This window comes from Homo sapiens, chromosome 21 (assembly GCF_000001405.40).
Source record: "Homo sapiens chromosome 21, GRCh38.p14 Primary Assembly".
NCBI classification, from domain to species: Eukaryota; Metazoa; Chordata; class Mammalia; order Primates; family Hominidae; genus Homo; species Homo sapiens.
This window is the reverse complement of record NC_000021.9, coordinates 10,624,390-10,646,149: the sequence shown is the minus strand read 5'-3', so window position 1 is coordinate 10,646,149 and position 21,760 is coordinate 10,624,390.

Below are 21,760 nucleotides of genomic sequence, written 5' to 3'. Positions count from 1 at the left end.
ATGGTCTGACACAAAGGAATGTAGCTGTTGTTAGGGATAGGAGATGTGATCGTAAGAACATGAGCAGGGATCCAGCAGTGCTTTGTCTTTTCACAGTTGCCCAGACAGAGACCCAGGAGAACAATGGGAGAATTGACTTCAGTCTCTCCAGTCCCATACGAGTATTATACCAGATGTTTTATGCCACTGTTTCATAGTAGAAAAATTAGTCTCTAAAGAAAGTCCGTTTTGAGGACAATACTATTTTCCAGTATCCTTCAAACGCCCCAAATCAGAGAGCACCACAGTGCCCCGTGGCCAGGAGCTACAAGACCTGGGCCTAGAAAACAAATGACAGAAATATCAGTTTATCTTTCCGCATCTGTCATAAAAATTTGAAGACTGTTTCCTTCCATCTGGATAATCATAGGTTGTGATAGACTGGAGCTGCTGGTCTATAAAAATAAACTGGTCTGCAGTGGGTACAGAATTACACCCATAATATAATTGTTCTCCTGAGGTCCTTATGCTGTTAGACCAGCTGACCAAGAAAGTGTTTTAAGAGCTGCAGTGCTTACTGGATCCTGTCATATTTGGGGCTACATTTGCAGCTACCAAGAGAAACAGAAAGAAGTCCATTTGGCCCAGGTAGAGTCAATTAATTTGTTTTATTTTATTCCAATGAGGTAAAAAATGCATCAACCAAAATGCAGATGATGATCAAGTGATCAAGGACAACAGCCACTCAGTGTTTCAGGTGTGTTTTAGCCCAAAAGCCACACAACATGTGAGAACCTGAACTCTGGAGTCCTGGCCATCTCTGAGGAGAATCTAGATGGTGGAAGGGAAGACACAATCATTAACATCTAGGGAAATTTCAGGGTTACCTGCTGTAGTGGAAAGCAAACCTTGAGCCTCTGAGACAGTGTGACGTCCATGGAGACTGAGACAGCTACTGTCTCAAGCCCCTGGTCATGGAATAGTCTCAATGTTTGTCTGTGTGTCACTATAGAACATTGTGTGTAAGTGGGATGATGCATACAACTGTGTCTGTGTGTTTGTGAATGTGTGTGTTTGTGTGAGGGTGTGAGCTTGTGTGTGCCTGTGTTTTATATTAAAATGAGTTACTTACTTTGTGATTGTTACACTATATCTTCGACCAAGTGTGTGGGAGAACGTGTTTGTGTGTTTCTGTGAGTTAGTTTGTAAAAGCGTATGCTATTTTGAGTGTGTGTGAGTGCGTTCTTCAATATTTGAGCCTATCAATTTGCATGAATGTTAATTTTCCTTAGTACGTGTGAGTTGCATACTTGACTAGGTGAATACAAAGTATCTGAGATAGGTGTCAGGCAATTTAAGAAGTTTGTTTTGCCAAAGTTAAAGACACACACCTATGACACAGCCTCGGGAGGTTCTGATGACATGAGCCCAAGGTGGTCAGGACACAGCTTGGTTTTATACGTTTTAGGAAGACATGAGACATCAAACAATATGTGTAAGATGTACATTGGTTGGCCTGGTGCAGTGGCTCATGCCTGTAATCCCAGCACTTTGGGAGGCCAAGGTGGGCAGATCATTTGATGTCAGGAATTCGACACCAGCCTGGTCAACATGGTGAAACCCCATCTCTACTGAAAATCCAGAAATTTGCTGGGTGTGGTGATGCACGCCTGCAGTCCCAGCTACTTGGGAGGCTGAGGCAGGAGAATTGCTTGAACCTGGGAGGTGGAGATTGCAGTGAGCCGAGATTGTGCCACTGCACTCCAGACTGGGTGACAGAGCAAGACTCTGTCTTAAGAAAAAAAATACATTGATTCATTCCAGAAAGATGTGAAAACTCGAAGGGGGTTTCCATATGTAGGTGAGAGACAAAGGGTTGCATTCTTTTGAGTTTCTGATTAGCTTTTCCAAAAGACTCAATCAGATATGCTTTTATCTCTGTGAGCAGATGGATGACTTTGAATAGAGTAGTAGACAAGTTTGCCCTAGTAGTTTCTAACTTGACTTTTCTCTTCAGCGGTGTGATCTTAGGGTCCCAAGATTTACTTTCCTTTCAGAAGTGAATATAGTTGATTTGACGCTAGTGTGACCAGGAATATTTGAGTGTGTGTGTGCTCTTTGTATTACTTGGTGAGTGTGTGCCCCTGAGTGTGTGGGGGGGTCATTACCTGTGACTCTACATATGAAGGTGTTGAGAGTGTGTGTGAGTCTGTGAGCATGTTTATATACATGTGGATTGTTAGTATGCATGCTTTTAGAGACTTTTTTTTTGAGTTGGAGTTTCACTCTTGTTACCCAGGCTGGAGTGCAGTGGCATGATCTCGGGTCACCACAACCTCTGCCTCTCTGGTTCAAGCGATTCTCCCACCTCAGGCTCCTGAGTAGCTGGGATTACAGGCATGTGCCACCATGCCTAGCTAATTTTTGTACTTTTTTTAGAGATGGGGTTTCACCATGCTGGCCAGAATGGTCTCTCTTGACCTCAGGTGATCCTCCCACCTTGGCCTACCAAAGTGCTAGGATTACAGGCATGAGCCACCGTGCCCAGGCTCTTTTGTTTATTTATTTATTTTTAAATGGAGTCTTGCTCTGCTCGCCAGGCTGGAGTGCAGTGGCGTGATCTCAGCTCACTGCAACCTCTGCCTCCAGGGTTCAAGCGATTCTCCTGCCTCAGCCTCCTGAGTATTTGGGACTACTGGTGTGTGCCACCATGCCCAGCTAATTTTTGTATTTTTAGTAGAGATGGGATTTCACCATGTTGGCCAGGATGGTCTTGATCTCTTGACCTCGTAATCTGCCCGCCTTGGCCTCCCAGAGTGCTGGGATTACAGGCATGAGCCACCCCACCTCGCCAGAGATTCATCTCTTGACCTCAGTGTCACATGTCTGAAAATATCAAGTATGTTTGAGTGTCAGAACCTGAGAAAGAAGCGTTGCCTATAATAAAACCTTCATAAAATAAACAACTGATTTCTCACCAAATTCATGAAGGCAAAAACTCATTGAGGTGGCGTATCAAAAGACTGAAATACACTGTCAATCAAGAATTATACACTTTCAAAGAAACCTTCAAAAGTGAAGGAGAAATTAAGGTGAATATAAAGAAACAAACGCTGATGGAGTTCATGGAACCTAGACAGTCCTTATGAGAAATGCTATATGGAGTCCCACAGACTGAACTGAAAGGAGAGTGGAGAGGAGCAGAAAATCTTACACCTAAAAAGAACAACAGCAACAAGGAAGGTGTCCCAGAAATGTCATTACATTTGTGTATGTGAGCGCCAATAGTGTTTTATTCTGCCCTGAGTCTCATGTTTCATTCCTCCATTATTTTGAAAATCAAGTACCATAATATTAATTATACATGTAAATAATATACATATAATTTGTAAAATACTAATATATAGTAATAACACAGTAAGGGAAGATGGATAGAGCTGTAGAGACACAGATTTGTATGCACTATCGATGCTAAGGTAATCATAATTCAATCTATTTTGTTATAAATTTGAATTACCAATTTTAGTGTCCATGTTAGCTATAAATATGTAACTAAAATTTAAAAAAAAAATCAGCATGACAGCTGAATAGATGTGCCTGACATTCGTCAATCCCATATGACGGAATGACAGAATTGAATAAACAGCTAAGACTAGACTGGACTGATGAAAGGGAGAAGTAGAGGATAGCAGGGGAGAGGAGAGGTCCCTGTGGTTATTAGAAGCCCAATAGTGCTTCTAATAGTGAAAGCACCCTGTGTCTGCAGCTTCATACTCGAGATTCACATGGGATTATCCCTGGTGAGGAAAGTTAAGTAGAAGAAGCACATCAGACCCCACTGCAATCACACATGTCAACAATCCTTACTGTAAAATAAATTCACAGGGCTTGCAAACCCTGAGCTCAACTTGGAGAGCTGGAAGGAATTCATGCATCTGTACTGCACAAGATTAGGAGCAAAATCTGTATTCCTTGCCCACCACCCATCCCATTAGCCAAAATGCTATAGCCTGTCACAACTTTGAGACCAGAGACACTTCTGGAGGGTGCCCTTCTTTGGGGCAGTAGTCATTGCATGTCTCCACACTGGGCCTCTGTTTCCATTCCATCAAACACACAAGTGGGTAAAGGCCAAAATACTAGCTGCACAAAGCCTAGAGCCAAGATCCCCTTTGGCTCTGGTGTTGCCCAGCAGGAAACCAACCCCTGAACAGGGCAATAACAAGTCACAAAATTGAAGCATTAATAAAAGGTCTTCCAGGAAAGAAAAAAAACCCAGGACTCAATGGCTTCATTGCGCAATTGTGACAAATATTTAAAGAAGAAACAATATCTATCCTCCTCAAAATATTAAAAAATAGGTAGAGAAGGAGGGAGTACTTTCAAACCTGCTCTATGAGACCAGTATTACCCTGAAATGAAAACCAAATAAAAACATAAAAAACACTACAAGCCAATGTCTCTGATGAATACAGAAGCGAAAATCCTCAAGGAAAACTTAGCAAACACCATTCAACAACACATTAAAAAAATCATGCATCATGACCAAGTACAGTTTATCCCAGTGATTCAAGGATGGTCCAACATATGGAAATCAATCAATGTGACACATCACATCAACAGAAAGGACAAAGGCCATAAGATCAGGCCTCACCTTGTCCTCCTCATTCAAAGTCTACCATCAGAGCTTTGGTCCTCTTGGCCAGTCCTGCTGTACTTGGTCTCCTGTGATTCCTCTCCCAGATCCTGAAACCTTGGGCTTCTGTGCACCTGCAGTCTCTCACCTCCTTGGACATGGAGATCCTGTATTCTCAGAGACAGATGATACCTCATTGTGTCTCCTATGGCCCATGCAAATGATTTCCCCAACACAGTCATGAGTTTTCCTGTATGAAATTGAAAGGGGATGTGGGGAACTGGTGTGCGTGTGTGTGTGTGTGTGTGTGTTCACAGTGGTACAAAAGGAGTCCTCAGGCATGCTAAGGTGTTGTGAACTAGGGTGATGTTGTCACTCAAGGCTACAATGGGGGCTCCATGAAGAGAAATCTAGAAAAGGATAAGCATATGAGCAAAGAAGCAAAACCTGGGGAGTAGCAGGGAGGGGACCAGGAGCGGTGACTCAACCGGACAGGGAAAACACCACGTACAAGAGAGGGTGAGAATTCTGTGCTCAGCAAAGAGGAGAACTCACTCAACATTTCCCTCAATTTTCCCTCAAGAAATTTCCTGTGCCAGGAAAGTTCACAATGGAGAATCTCCAGCTCCAGGTGGGACCCCAAAAGAGGCAGGGGGACTTTAGGCCATAGGTCTTGTGCACAAGGTTTTTCCCCAGTTCCTACCCCTTTCCTTTCCTCTCTGTCCAGCAAACCTGCTTGTTTCTGTCACCTGCCTTCCTGTCCTTGGGGTAAGAATGGATGCCTTGACACTCAGCAGAGGGATGCTCTTTCAGAGGAGGAATTAGTTTGTGTCATCTGACTCCTGAGCAGGAAAATCATGCCTGGGAAGAGGTTCCAAGACAGAGGTCCGCCGTAGTTCCTGCCCCTTATATGTGCGGGGCTCCTGGCACATGCACACTTCTCCTCAAACTCTGTTTACACCCCAGCAACAATGCTGGGTGTTGTCAGCCCCTCTCCTCCCCAGATACCGCTCTGTCATCAGCCAAGGAACAAATTCCCCATGAAAGACATTATTCTTTCTCTCAAGAAGATCAACTACTTATATTTCTTCCTTTGCTGACAGCTTTGCAGGGTGAACATCTAGAATTTAAAAAAGGGTTGATGTGGACAAGTGAGCTCTCTGTGTGACTCACCAGGATGTTCCCTCTTATTCCAGGTGTCCTGTCCCATGTGTAGGTGCAGGAGTCAGGTCCAGGACCCATGAGGCCCTCAGACACTGCCCTCCACATGTGCTGTGTCTGGATTCTTTTTTACCATGGATACTATTTGAGCTGAATCCACCATCCCCTGGGCAACAGGCTGGAATGGCTGGGGCACAGTTACTAGAGTCGATCACCAAGGAATACACATCATGCTCCCTCCACCCAGGTCCATGTCCCCATCAACAATGACTCAACCAAGAGCCAGTTCTCTGTGAAGCTCAGCTCCATGGCTGCCCAGGACACAGCTGAGTATTACTGTGAAAGACTTAATGAGAAGGTGTCCTTGTGAGCCCTGACACAAAACTTGCTGGCAGGGCACTCAGGACTGCCAGGAAGACTCAGGACCACAGAGGGGACTCAAGACCACCAGGGAAGAGCAGGTTGCAGGAAGCACAGGGCCAGCCCCAGAGCAGTTGGGGGTAGAGATGAGAGGTTGGTTTACTGCCAGGTTCTGGGGTTGCCTCACCATCTTCATGTTTCCTCCAGGGACCCTCTCTTATTTCATGGTGCTGTGTCTAGCTCTACATCTCTAAAATACCACAGTTTTGTTGTACCAGGAGGAAACCTTCTCACAGGCCCTAAATGTAGAGCAATCTCTCTGCCAGTGGTCACTAGGATCACAGCCCTGAGGAAGCTGAGGGTAACCTGGTGAATCTTCTTCAGTCACATTCGGGACAGGAACCTTAGCGGGGTTCCCTGAGGAGAACAGTCTCAGGAATCCTAACCTCAGCCAAGACAGAGGCTGGGCCAGATCAATGTCAGATAGAACCTCACAAGTTTTATGTCTGACCCTTCTCCACCAACAATAAAGCATGCCAATCAGTATCAGCGCCGATCTGGGGCCCTTTTACTCCTAGCACATTCTGTTTCTCTTTATTTGTTGTTGTTATTCTTGCTTTTCCTTGTACTGCTGCTGCTCCCTGTAAAGTGGGGATGTGGTTCTTGCTGCCAAAGCTCCAGGGCTCAAGCCCATTCCTTGCAGCTCAGGTGGGGCTCAGGCTGTGGCTCCTGCAGCCACACGGGAGAGGCTGATGGGACTTTCTTCTCTCTCATTGCACGAGACCATCCAGTGTGTTGTGTGGAGACTCACCTGGGAAAGGAAGTGGCCAATAGTAGTGAAGGGGATGAGCTTGTGTGGACAAAATGGGATGTGGATATGAAATTTGTCCTGTGCTGTGCAAGCTACCACAAAGTCACCTTCCTCACCAGTGGCGTTATAAATAGTGTGTGAAAGTTGTCAGAATCAAAATGGAGCCACTTGTGTTAAAACCCTGACAAATGGAACTAGGAATGACCATGAAGGAGGGTTCGCATGCACATACTCCTGATAAGAAGAACTACCATAAATTGACTCTGCTTAATCACAACCTTGGATAGAAGCCACCAACACCATATAAAACTTCCTTCTACAAAGATATGTGTCCAGCGACTGCCTGTTCAGCCTTATACTGATGCCACCCTTGGTATTGATTCTACAAGCACAGGATAATTCTTTCAAAACAGCTTATGTAACCCACCTCATTTTCACTTCATAAACCTATGGATTGACATCCTGTAGTCACTGCTGCATTTCTTATTAATGTTAATAAGCCCCCTTTACAATATTCGAAGCAATTTTTCTCTGATATCTCTTCTAAAATAAAGAATTTCCAAGTTGACGCCAATAAAGAAGATACTTAGGAAGATCTATTTGGCATATTTGGAAGGCATATTTTTATTTATTTATTTACTTTTGAGATGGAGATTCACTCTTGTTGCCCAGGCTGGAGTGCAATGGCGGGATCTCAGCTCACTGCAACCTCTGCCTCCCTAGTTCAAGTGATTCTCCTGCCTCAGACTCCCGAGTAGCTGGGATTACAGGCATGCACCAACACGCCCGGCTAATTTTTTATTTTTAGTAGAGAGGAGATTTCTCCATGTGGGTCAGGCTGGTCTCGAACTCCTGACATCAGGTGATCCCCCCCGCCTCAGCCTCCCAGAGTGCTGGGTTTACAGGCATGAGTTGATGCGCCTGGCCAGGAAGCCATCTTTAACATCCTGTTGAATGATTCTGCATAGCACATCAATCCCTTAAAATACTTTGCTGTATCGGCTTGCGATTAATCAGTATATAAAACTGAAGGTAAAATGGGAAATACATGGGCTTTTGATGAACCAAGCCATAGGGTGATAATGTCTGTGTCCTTGAGGAAGCAGACTAAGGGTTGTAAGTTCTGGTGGGAGTACCTTTGGCAAAGGGAGTTCCTGAGTTTCTGGATATTATGCTACTTTTAACTTAAAGATGCAATTTATGATTTATTTTTACTTAAATCTTTCCAGAAGATATTTGGCAGTAAGGACAGGATAGCGTTTGTGTGATACTGATGACTTAGAGAGTTATTTTGTAATTGTTCCTGTAAGGTATGCACATTGCTCACTTGATGAAGTACAAATGTCACAGGTGGGAAAATCAGATTAAGCAGATTTTATCAAATGTCATGGCTGTAATTTTTGGCAAGAAAATGCTTCACATCAACCAGAAAATAAACAGAAAACAAGAAAACATATTCAAATCCAGTGGGAGTCTGACCTCTGTCCTTCTCTGTTATAAGTACAAGGTTGTTCCACATCCAAATTATTCTTCAGGCTCCAGGGAATGAAATGCTTTTGGACTGTGAAAGCTAATAGCTCTCCCCTCAGGCAGGGCTAAGTTATCTGGGGAATGCAGAGTTGTGTTCATGAGGAAGATGGCACTATTGTGTCTTCTTCTGCATTGCCCCATCACACGGGTGAGGAATTTTTGAAACCAGTGAAGTGTGAGTGCACAGTAAGTGATGAAGTTATCATATATCCATGAACTTTCATTAATAGGCCAAGGCCTTCTACAGATCACTCATGCACAAATATCCAAAATGTGTTTTTCCATTTTTTGATGCCTAGAGAAAAATATCTGTTGAGGAAACTTCTTCAGCTTACAGAGATCTGCTTAAGTTTGAGATCCCATAGGAGAGTGTCTTTGAGTGAATTCCAGTCTATTAATTAAATAGGTCCAAATTCTCTCTGTTGGAGTAGCCTTCCAATTGTGCTGATTTCTTTTTTTTTTTATTATACTTTAAGTTTTAGGGTACATGTGCATAACGTGCAGGTTTGTTACATATGCATACATGTGCCATGTTGGGTGTTGCACCCATTAACTCATCATTTACATTAGGTATATCTCCTAATGCTATCCCTCCCCACTCCCCTCACCCCACAACAGGCCCCAGTGTGTGATGTTCCCCTTCCTGTGTCCATGTGTTCTCATTGTTCAATTCCCACCTATGAGTGAGAACATGCAGTGTTTGGTTTTTTGTTCTGGTGATAGTTTGCTGAGAATGATGGTTCGCAGCTTCATCCATGTCCCTACAAAGGACATGAACTCATCCTTTTTTATGGCTGCATAGTATTCCATGGTGTATATGTGCCACATTTTCTTAATCCAGTCTAGCATTGTTGGACATTTGGGTTGGTTCCAAGTCTTTGCTATAGTGAATAGTGCCACAATAAACATACATGTGCATGTGTCTTTATAGCAGCAAGATTTAAAATCCTTTGGGTATATACACAGTAATGAGATGGCTAGGTCAAATGGTATTTCTAGTTCTAGATCCCTAAGGAATTGCCACACTGACTTCCACAATGGTTGAACTAGTTTACAGTCCCAAAAACAGTGTGAAAGTATTCCTATTTCTCCACATCCTCTCCAGCACCTGTTGTTTCCTGACTTTTTAATGATCGCCATTCTAACTGGTGTGAGATGGTATCTCATCGTGGTTTTGATTTGCATTTCTCTGATGGCCAGTGAAGATGAACATTTTTTTATGTGTCTTTTGGCTGCATAAATGTTTTCTTTTGAGAAGTGTCTGTTCATATCCTTCACCCACTTGTTGATGGGGTTGTTTGTTTTTTTCTTGTAAATTTGTTTGGGTTCTCTGTAGATTCTGGATATTAGCCCTTTGTCAGATGAGTAGATTGCAAACATTTTCTCCCATTCTGTAGGTTGCCTGTTTACTCTGATGGTAGTTTCTTTTGCTGTGCAGAAGCTCTTTAGTTTAATTAGATCCCATTTGTCAATTTTGGCTTTTGTTGCCATTGCTTTTGCTGTTTTCGACATGAAGTCCTTGCCCAAGCCTATGTCCTGAATGGTATTGCCTAGGTTTTCTTCTAGGGTTTTTATGGTTTTAGATCTAACATTTAAGTCTTTGATCCATCTTAATTTAATTTTTATAAGTTGTAAGGAAGGGATCCAGTTTCAGCTTTCTACATATGGCTAGCCAGTTTTCCCAGCACCGTTTATTAAATAGGGAATCCTTTCCCCATATTTTGTTTTGGTCAGGTTTGCCAAAGATCAGATAGTTGTAGATATGTGGCATTATTTCTGAGGGCTCTGTTCTGTTCCATTGGTCTATATCTCTGTTTAGGTACCAGTACCATACTGTTTTGGTTGCTGTAGCCTTGTAGTATAGTTTGAAGTCAGGTAGTGTGATGGCTCCAGTTTTGTTCTTTTGGCTTAGGATTGACTTGGCAATGCGGGCTCCTTTTTGATTCCATATGAACTTTAAAGTAGTTTTTTTCCAATTCTGTGAAGAAAGTCATTGGTAGCTTGATGGGGATGACATTGAATCTATAAATTACCTTGGGCAGTATGGCCATTTTCATGATATTGATTCTTCCTACCCATGAGCATGGAATGTTCTTCCATTTGTTTATATCTTCTTTTGTTTCATTGAGCAGTGGTTTGTAGTTCTCCTTGAATAGGTCCTTCACCTCCCTTGTAAGTTGGATTCCTAGGTATTTTATTCTCTTTGAAGCAATTGTGAATGGGAGTTCACTCATGATTTGGCTCTGTCTGTTATTGGTGTATAAGAATGCTTGTGATTTCTGCACATTGATTTTGTATCCTGAGACTTTGCTGAAGTTGCTTATCAGCTTAAGGAAATTTTGGGCTGAGATGATGGGGTTTTCTAGATATACAATCATGTCATCTGCAAACAGGGACAATTTGACTTCCTCTTTTCTTCATTGAATACCCTTTATTTCCTTCTCCTGTCTGATTGCTCTGGCCAAAACTTGCAACACTATGTTGAATAGGAGTGATGAGAAAGGGCATCCCTGTCTTGTGCCAGTTTTCAAAGGGAATGCTTCCAGTTTTTGCCCATTCAGTATGATATTGGCTGTGGGTTTGTCATAGATAGCTCTTATTATTTTGAGATACGTCCCATCAATACCTAAATTATTGAGAGTTTTTAGCATGAAGGGTTGTTGAATTTTGTCAAAGGCCTTTTCTTCATCTACTGAGATAATCATGTGGTTTTTGTCATTGGTTCTATTTATATGCTGGATTACATTTATTGATTTGTGTATGTTGAACCAGACTTGCATCCCAGGAATGAAGCCCACTTGATCACGGTGGATAAGTTTTTGATGTGCTGCTGGATTCAGTTTGCCAGTATTATACTGAGGATTTTTGCAATGATGTTCATCAGGGATATTGGTCTAAAATTCTCTTTTTTTGTTGTGTCTCTGCCAGGCTTTGGTATCAGAATGATGCTGGCCTCGTAAAATGAGTTAGGGAGCATTCCCTTTTTTTCTATAGATTGGAATAGTTTCAGAAGGAATGGTACCAGCTCCTCCTTGTACCTCTGGTAAAATTCAGCTGTGAATCTGTCTGGTCCTGGACATTTTTTAATTCGTAGGCTATTAATTATTGCCTCAATTTCAGAGCCTATTATTGGTCTATTCAAGGACTCAACTTCTTCCTGGTTTAGTCTTGGGAGGGTGTATGTGTCGAGGAATTTATCCATTTCTTCTAGATTTTCTAGTTTATTTGCGTAGAGGTGTTTATAGTATTCTGTGATGGCAGTTTGTATGTCTGTGGGATCGGTGGTGATATCTCCTTTATCATTTTTTATTGTGTCTATTTGATTCTTCTCTCTTTTCTTCTTTATTAGTCTGGTTAGTGGTCTATCAATTTTGTTGATCTTTTCGAAAAACCATCTCCTGGATTCATTGATTTTTTGAAGGGCTTTTTGTGTGTCTATCTCCTTCAGTTCTGATCTGATCTTAGTTATTTCTTGCCTTCTGCTAGCTTTTGAATGTATTTGCTCTTGCTTCTCTAGTTCTTTTAATTGTGATGTTAGGGTGTCAATTTTAGATCTTTCCTGCTTTCTCTTGTGGGCATTTAGTGCTATAAATTTCCCTCTACACACTGCTTTAAATGTGTCCCAGAGATTCTGGTATGTTGTGTCTTTGTTCTCGTTGGTTTCAAAGAACATCTTTATTTCTACCTTCATTTCATTATGTACCCAGTAGTCATTCAGGAGCAGTTTGTTCAGTTTCCATGTAGTTGAACGGTTTGAGTGAGTTTCTTAATCCTGAGTTCTAGTTTGATTGCACTGTGGTCTGAGAGACAGTTTGTTATAATTTCTGTTCTTTTACATTTGCTGAGGAGTGCTTTACTTCCAACTATGTGGTCAGTTTTGGAGTAAGTGCGGTGTGGTGCTGAAAGAATGTATATTCTGTTGATTTGGCATAGAGAGTTCTGTAGATGTCTATTATGTCTGCTTGGTGCAGAGCTGAGTTCAATTCCTGGATATCCTTGTTAACTTTCTGTCTCGTTGATCTGTCTAATGTTGACAGTGGGGTGTTAAAGTCTCCCACTATTATTGTGTGGGAGTCTAAGTCTCTTTGTAGGTCTCTAAGGACTTGCTTTATGAATCTGGGTTCTCCTGTATTTGGTGCATATATATTTAGGATAGTTAACTCTTCTTGTTGAATTGATCCCTTTACCATTCTGTAATGGCCTTCTTTGTCTCTTCTGATCTTTGTTGGTTTAAAGTCTGTTTTATCGGAGACTAGGATTGCAACCCCTACCTTTTTTTGTTTTCCATTTGCTTGGTAGATCTTCCCCCATCCCTTTATTTTGAGCCTGTGTGTGTCTCTGCACATGAGATGGGTTTCCTGAATACAGCACACTGAAGGGTCTTGACTCTTTATCCAACTTGCCAGTCTGTGTCTTTAATTGGTGCACTGAGCCCATTTTCATTTAAGGTTAATATTGTTATGTGTGAATTTGATCCCGTCATTGTGATGTTAGCTGGTTATTTGGCTCGTTAGTTGATGCAGTTTCTTCCTAGCTTTGGTGGTCTTTACAATTTGGCATGTTTTTGCAGTGGCTGTTACCGGTTGTTCCTTTCCATGTTTAGTGCTTCCTTCAGGAGCTCTTTTAGGGCAGGCCTGGTGGTGACAAAATCTCTCATCATTTGCTTGTCTGTAAAGGATTGTATTTCTCCCTCACTTATGGAGCTTAGTTTGGCTGGATATGAAATTCTGGGTTGAAATTATTTTCTTTAAGAATGTTGAATATTGGCCCCCACTCTCTTCTGGCTTGTAGAGTTTCTGCCGAGAGATCCACTGTTAGTCCGATGGGCTTCCCTTTGTGGGTAACCCAACCTTTCTCTCTGGCTTCCCTTAACATTTTTTTCCTTCATTTCAACTTTGGTGAATCTGACAATTATGTGTCTTGGAGTTGCTGTTCTTGAGGAGTATCTTTGTGACATTCTCTGTATTTCCTGAATTTGAATGTTGGTCTGCCTTTCTAGATTGGGGAAGTTCTGGATAATAGCCTGCAGAGTGTTTTGCAACTTGGTTCCATTCTCCCCGTCACTTTCAGGTACACCAATCAGACATAGATTTGGTCTTTTCACATAGTCCCATATTTCTTGAAGGCTTTGTTCTTTTTATTCCTTTTTCTCTAAACTTCTTTTCTCACTTCATTTCATTCATTTGACCTTCCATCACTGATAACCTTTCTTCCAGTTGATTGAATCAGCTACTGAAGCTCATGCATTCATCACACAGTTCTTGTGTCATGATTTTTAGCTCCTTCAGATCCTTTAAGGACTTCTCTGCATTGGTTATTCTAGTTAGTCATTCGTCTAATCTTTTTTCAAGGTTTTTAACTTGTTTGCCATGGGTTTGAGCTTCCTCCTTTAGCTTGGAGAAGTTTGATAGTCTGAAGCCTTCTTCTCTCAACTCATCAAAGTCATTCTCCATCCAGCTTTTTTCCATTGCTGGTGAGGAGCTGCATTCCTTTGGAGAAGGAGAGGCACTCTGATTTTTAGAATTTTCAGTTTTTCTGCTCTGTTTTTTCTCCGTCTTTGTGGATTTATCTACCTTTGGTCTTTGATGAAGGTGATGTACAGATGGGGTTTTGGTGTGGATGTCCTTTCTGTTTGTTAGTTTTCCTTCTAACAGTCAGGACCCTCAGTTGCAGGTCTGTTGGAGTTTGCTGGAGGTCCACTCCAGACCCTGTTTGCCTGGGTATCAGCAGTGGAGGCTGCAGAACAGTGAATATTGGTGAACAGCAAATGTTGCTGCCTGATCTTTCCTCTGGATGTTTCATCTCAGAGGAGTACCCGGCCATGTGAGATGTCAGTCTGCCGCTACTGGGGAGTGCCTCCCAGTTAGGCTACCTGGGGGTCAGGGACCCACTTGAGGAGGCAGTCTGTCCATTCTCAGATCTCAAGCTGCATGCTGGGAGAACCACTACTGTCTTCAAAGCTGTCAAACAGGGACAATTTAAGTCTGCAGAGGTTTCTGCTGCCTTTTATTTGGCTATGCCCTGCCCCCAGAGGTGAAGTCTACAGAGGCAGGCAGGCCTCCTTGAGCTGTGGTGGGCTCCACCCAGTTCGAGCTTCCTGGCCACTTTGTTTATTTACTCAAGCCTTGGTAATGGCAGGCCCCCCTTCCCCAGCCTCGCTGTTGCCTTGCAGTTTGATCTCAGAGTGCTGTGCTAGCAATGAGCAAGGCTCTGTGGGCGTGGGACCCTCCAAGATATGCACGGGATATAATCTCCTGGTGTGCTGTTTGCTAAGACCATCAGAAAAGCACAGTATTAGTGTGGGAGTGACCCGATTTTCCAGGTGCCATCTGTCACCCCTTTCCTTGGCTAGGAAAGGGAATTCCCTGACCCCTTGCACTTCCTGGGTGAGGCGATTCTTCGCCCTGCTTTGGCTCATGCTCGGTGCGCTGCACCCACTGTCCTGCACGCACTGTCCGACAGTCCCCGGTGAGATGAACCTGGTACCTCAGTTGGAAATGCAGAAATCATTCATCTTCTGTGTCGCTCACACTGTGAGCTGTAGACTGGAGTTGTTCCTATTCGGCCATTTTGGAACCACCCCTGAGTTTTGGTTTCTTGATAGAACCTGGACAGGTGGGCTGAGGTGCTGTGGGACATAAATGGGGAAGAGCTGGACCCAATATCCAGAATCAAGTAAGCTTTTACTCACCATGTGGTTTTGTTTCTGAGTTTATGGTTTGACCAGATGCAGAAGAGTTTGTCCGGGACTTCTGAGGGGTGAAGAACTTGAAGGGAGAATAATATAACTTATTAGTCAAATAAATGAAAATATCATAATTGTGGATATGTTCTTGTGAGTGGGGGTAGCTCAGCAGTGTGTGTTCATCCCCAGAAAAGAGAAAATCTTGTCTGCTGTGGAAAGAAGACATAGTTTTTAACATATGTGGTTACTATTAACGACAACTGAGCCTGGGTACTGGATCATGTTATAATGCTAAAGGGAAGATTCAATAGAAGAAAGAATGTCATAGCAAAAACAAAAAAATTAAGCATCAAAGATTTAAATGAAATGACTTTGAATATTACTAGTAATGAACATGCCAAGAAAAATCAATTACTATAACCAGAAGAATAATTCATGACTGCCCATGGGATTCATGCTGAGAAGATATACAATTTCCATTTAATTTCCATTTACTGAAAATTAAATTAAATTTAGTGAGGGCTCATCACTACCCTCATAAAATGGTTCAGAGAGTAAGCGAAGAATATAGTGTGAGCTTACAGCAAGTGGAGACCATCTCTTCTCCTCCAATGTCCCACAGCTCCACAGCCCACCTGTCCAGGTTCTATCAAGAAATTTTAGCTCCTGCCCAGTAAAGGAAACAGTTGAGTGAGGAGAGAACCTGCAGATGATAGACAATATTTGAAAACTGTTCATTTGACAAGGGATTACTATAAAGCATATAAAATTAACTGAACTGCAATTAATAATCTGAATAATAATGGGCAAATAACATGAATGAACATCTGTCCAAGGAAGACGTGGAAAGGATCAATAGATAGATAGATGATAAGTATATATGCACACATATATTGCTAGACAGCACTAATATTCAGGAACATGCAAATTCACAATGAGATATCTTTTCATCCTTCATCTTTGCTGGAAATTCTGTTAACAGAAAGCCAAAATAAGGAAAACAAAAGCTAGCAAGGCTGCATAGAAGGGGACACTCTTATTGACCACTGGTGGAAATGTAAATTAGTATAGCCATCATGGGAAAAAAATAGAACTGCCATATAATTCAGCGATCCAACTGCTGAGTATTTATCTATTTAAATAATTAAAAGAAAAAACTAAAATTGAAGAGATACCTGTACACCCATGTTTACTGCAGCACTAATTGAAATAGCTAAGCTATGAAATCAACATATGTGTCCATGAACAGATGAATGGATAAATAAAATGAGGTAAATTTACACAATGAAATATTATTCAGCCTTAAAAATGAAATTCTGCCATTTGAAGCAACATGGTTGGAACTGGACACCCTTATGGTGAATGAAAGAAGACAGACTAGAAAAATAAATACCACATTTTCTCAATTTAATGTGGAAGTTTAAGAAAGTTGATCTTCTAGAAGTAAATAGTAGAGTAGTGGTTATGAGATGCTCCAAATGGGAGGAGACTGAGAGACAAGAAGAGGCTTGTTAACAAATGCACAATTACAGGTAGACGGGAGGGATATGCTCTAGTGTTCTACAGCGCAGTAGGATGACTACAGCTAACAATATATTGTACGTTTACAAGTAGCCAGAAGAGAGCATTTTGTATGCTACCAACACAAATAAATGTTAATGTCTGAGCTGATGAATTTTCTCATTGTTCTGATTTGGTCAAACCACATGGCAGAGATGTATTGAAATATCACACTGTATCCCATAAATATAAACAATCATTATCTGCCAACCTAAAAAATCCTTTAATTAAAAAGGATTGTATTGCCATACATTACAAGTGATTCAACACAGAGCCTGAAAAAAATACCATTTTTATTTGAAATAGTGAAATTCCTAACAACATAGTTACACTCATTTGCACCAAGCTGTGTATTTGATCATGGTAAGCATAGACAGACTTATGCATAGAATAATATATTTTAATTATAGACTTCTACTTAATACTATAAATGCCAATACATTTAAAACAACTAAGCAAAAGGAATAAAGTTGATGAAATGTGTGTGGTGTGTGATGTGAGCAATTTTTCTTTAACCACGCTGTCCATGTTGGATGTGTGGTGTGTGTCTGTATCTGTGTTTACTCTGCTTGGGGTTCTCTGTGATTCTGGGATCTGTAGTTCAGTGTCTTTCACAAAATTGGGAACATTCTCAACCATTATTTTTTCAAATACTTTCTCTGTATCTATAATTTCTACTTTTCAGAATTAAAGTATACATTTACTACACTTTTGATATTGTTTAGTTTCTTCACTCTTTTCCTTTGCAATTTACTTGTTAAATTTCTAGTGACATTTTAAGTGCATGGTTTCATTTAAAAGCTGAGCCAGCTCTAATGAGCAGTGTGCCCAAAGATTGCTCAATGTTCATACTGCATTGCTTTTGATTTCTCATGCATTTCCATTTGATTACTTCTTAGTATTTTCATCTCTCAGTCCCCTATCTAGTCCTGCATTATGTCCACAGTTTCTTCAAGAGATTTTTACATATGAATTATAGTTACATTATATATCTTATTTAATTAGTTATAATACCTGTATCTTTTATAAATCCCTTTCTGATTATTTCTTTATTGTGACTTTGGTATTTCTCATTAATATATGTAATAATCGTTGTTGATAACCAGACATGTTGGGTTTGACAGTTGATACTGGCTTATTTCATTTTATCCATTTTCTGCCTGTATTTGACCACACTTTATCTTTGCCAGGCAATTATTGTGGAAATGTCCGTGAATCTTCTCACAGCTACATTTGACATTTACTTTTGCAGTGGACATCAGAGTTGAAGTCTGTTCTGTGTCCACCAGAGACTTCAGATGCTCCAGTGATACCTCGTTTTTCTTTCCTGCTTGGCTTTGTCTCATCACCTGTTCCCTCCTCCAGAGAATCTCTTTCAGCTCCTTCAGGTGGGTTAAAATGTTATATTTAACTGACAATAGTGAAATTGGTTGAAGGCAATAGAATAAAGGGAGATTTTGCGACTTTTCCTGGGTCCATATTGTGATCCTGAGTCTGGGTGTGAGCTTTCCAGTGTTTCTGAACTTCCTCCAGATGAGATGTTGGTCTGCGTGTTCTTGCTCTTTTCCTGGGTAGAGTCCTCTTGTTTTCCCCAGTTGTTCCCTCCCACAGCTCCAGTGTTCTCTTTTGGTGTTATCACCTTCCAGATTTGATGACCTGAGGTTCAAATTAAGGCTCTGATTAAATAAGAAGGCAGCAAAGGCCGGGCAAAAAGCCGCCGCAACAAAAAGCTGCGCTGACGGGCGGAAAAAGCCGCGGCGGCGGAGCCAAAAAGCCGGGGCGGCAAAAAGCCACGGTGGCGGGCGCAAACAGCCGCAAAAAGCCGCGGTGGTGGGGGCAAAATCAGTGGGAGCAGGGGCAAAAAAACACAAAAAGCCGCGGCGGCGGGGGCAAAAAGCCAAAGCGGCGGGGGCAAAAAGCCGCGGCGGGCAAATAACCGCGGCACCGGAGGGGGGCAAAAAGCCGCAGCGGGCGGCAAAAACCCGTGGCGGGCATAAACCCGAGGCGGCGGGGGAGCAAAAAGCCGCGGCGCCGGGGGGGCAAAAAGCCGCCGCGACGGAGGGCAAAATAGTGGAGATGGGGTAGAAGTCCGGCACAGCTTGGCTTTGCTGGAGTGTGATGTGATAGGAAATGTGCAGCCAAAGACAAAAGAAGATGTAAGTAGGCTTGACTCATTGCAGCTAAGAACCCAGATGTTACCTTGAGGGTATTAACTAATAAGCAGTTTAAATCAGAATGGCACATTCTGATTTGTTTTTTGTATGTTCACATTTGGCAGGCATAGATACTGTTTGAAAAGAGAAAAGTCAGTACATAGAGGTAACAAGCTTAAATATGTGCCAAGTCTAGAAACAAGAGACTAGGGGGATAAGGACCTTTCGAAATTAAATGCAAGATTTGAAAACTGATTGGCTGGGGGATGAGGCAAAGGCAGGTCTTTAAGGTCAATCCCTGTTTTGCTTTAAGTTGTTAGCGGGTGGTTTTATCATATATTGTAGAATATGTCATTTCAGTTTTGAACATCTTGAGTTAAATTGTCCTAACATATCTTACGAATTTGATTTTCTTCCCTGGGAAGCTAATATTTCAAAAACTTAAAGAGTATAGATTTCCAACTGGTATCCAATTTATAAAACTATCTCTAGGCTGCTGATTTCAGGAGGAGGCTTATGAATATTCTCTTTGCAGAGAATATATCAGGAGTTAACATCAGCTTCAATATTTGTGGACGACCAGTTAACTAAGCCACCTCTTAGTGTATTTAGATGGGAAATCTTAGCTGAAGATATTCAATAATGAACCAACAGTGACTAAAAAATTCAATATTGAAGTATATTTCCTTGTAATTAATTTGAATTGAAGTAGCCATATACAGCTAGTATTTACTACATTGAACAATGCAAATACGAGGAAAAAATTAATAACCATCTCTAATACCACATGCCAAAATCCTCATCAATTTGTTCTAGCTAAAGGAGTTTATCAGAAGCAGCAGTCGAAAGCACCAACTAAACCAGCTGGGGTTAGTTCACTGTCATTCTCTCAGAACCATCTCTTCTCTGAACAAAACAAGTACAAGAGTTCATCGTGAATCTGCATTCTCCTTGCCTATTTTAAGGTTTTGATGTTGACACTAATTTGTGAAATCCCTCCTGTGGTGTGATATTTCGTTTTCCTTGCTTTCTGTTAGGACAAGAATGCTTCAGCTCTTAATTTAAAATTATGTTTCTCCCTCCTAGGTTGAGTGAACTTAGAATGCATTCTCTGACATATCCAAGTTTTTGTTCATATGAATTTGGGGAAAAAAGCATACTTAATTAGCTAAGACTTCTTATTCTAGGCTTGACCCTGTGTTCAACATCTATTGAATTTGTAGTTGCATGGGCTGCTCTCTGACACTGCTTAGTGACCTGGAAGCTATATTAACGTTAGGGGAGGTGGTGTATGAGCATTAGAGGTATCATTGCAAGGAAAGACTTGTCTTATCTCAATTTGTCTTTTTTTTGCACACAAGAAAGTCAGTGTTTGAGTCTTCTAAAATCTTCCTATTTCCAAGTTGCAGAGTACCATTGATTCCTAAACAAAGTTCTAATTTTTGACTCAGAGACGTGGCAAGGTAGTGAATCACCATTATAATTTAACAATCTTCAAGATAAAATTATCTCTCCGATATTTAGATTTTGCCCAATTATTAAGATATTTGGTTGTTTCGTTAAGAATGGAAGACTCTAGTCTCTTCAGCAGAGACTACAAAGGCCTCAGATGATCATTTATAATTTTATGCTGTTTTCTTTAACACCTTCAACACAGTTGGAAGCAGCCAGAGTTGTTGTGTTTTTGAAACCAAATGCATGGTTCAGTGGTAGAAAACTGGGCTGATCCAAGCTGTTTTCAGTGAACACTTCATTTCAGGTGACCTATTTCATATTAAATAATCTCTAGATCCTGTCTTCGAAACTAACTAGATCAGATAACCTACCCTGGATTTTCTCCTTTTAGGGTCTGTGAGCTGCAGTCACTTTTGTGAAAATGATTGCAATGACAAGATAGAGTTGTAGATGGAGAAAATGTTTTGACTAATTTACGCATAGTGGTATTTCATATGAGAATTTAAGTTACACACTTTTGAAAATTATAATGGAGTCTCTTGGCTGAGCTTTAAAAAAAAATAGCATTTAGACTAAAAAGGGAATTGTTCCTCTCCTAAAATCAGAAAGATGTTACAGTAATTCTCCATTCTCTAGAATTATCAGGAAGCACCTTTGTGATGATTTACTTCTGTTCTTGGGAGTGTGAGCCCGTGTAGTCTTGGAACCATCAATTAGAATGATGGCTTTCTGATCCCAAAGTCATTCGTTCTGAAAACAATATTTTTCATAAATTTGAAAATGAGAAGTTTTGATCTTGCCATTCCCAAGTAACTCTCTTAATAAGAGGCATCAGCATGCTTCAGTGACAGCTGTCACCTTCCAGTGCTGAGAGTCATATTTGAGTTCTCCATTTCACTCCCTACACTCCAATTTAGCTGCAGTTCTCTTGGCCAGTCCTATGAAATACATCCATGGCCTAACGACTTCTCACCACTAATACCACTCATCCTCACAGCATTCTCACCTAAGTCACTACCTGTTTTCTCTGGATTACAGTAGCCTCCCAATTTATTTGCTCACATAACCTATTTATTCTACACAGTGCACCAGATACACCCCTTTGAAATGCAAACACAATCATGTTATTCTCTGGTGAAATTATCTCATATATTCCTATCGCATTTAAAATTAATTCAGAATCATCCCATGATTATCAAAACCCTACATGCTCTTCCACAGCATGGTTTACTTCCAAGATATCTCTTCAACTTTTTTTTCACTGTAGTGAATTGGTGACTAATAGTCATATTTTTGTTTTTGCTCAAAAAGTCTTGAATTGTAAATTTTTCAGATTCTCCTTTATCCACAGGTAACTCTTTCCTCATAAGGCGAATTGCTTGCTTCCTTGAGTTCTGCTCTCAAAGATACCCTTCATTTTCTACCTAATA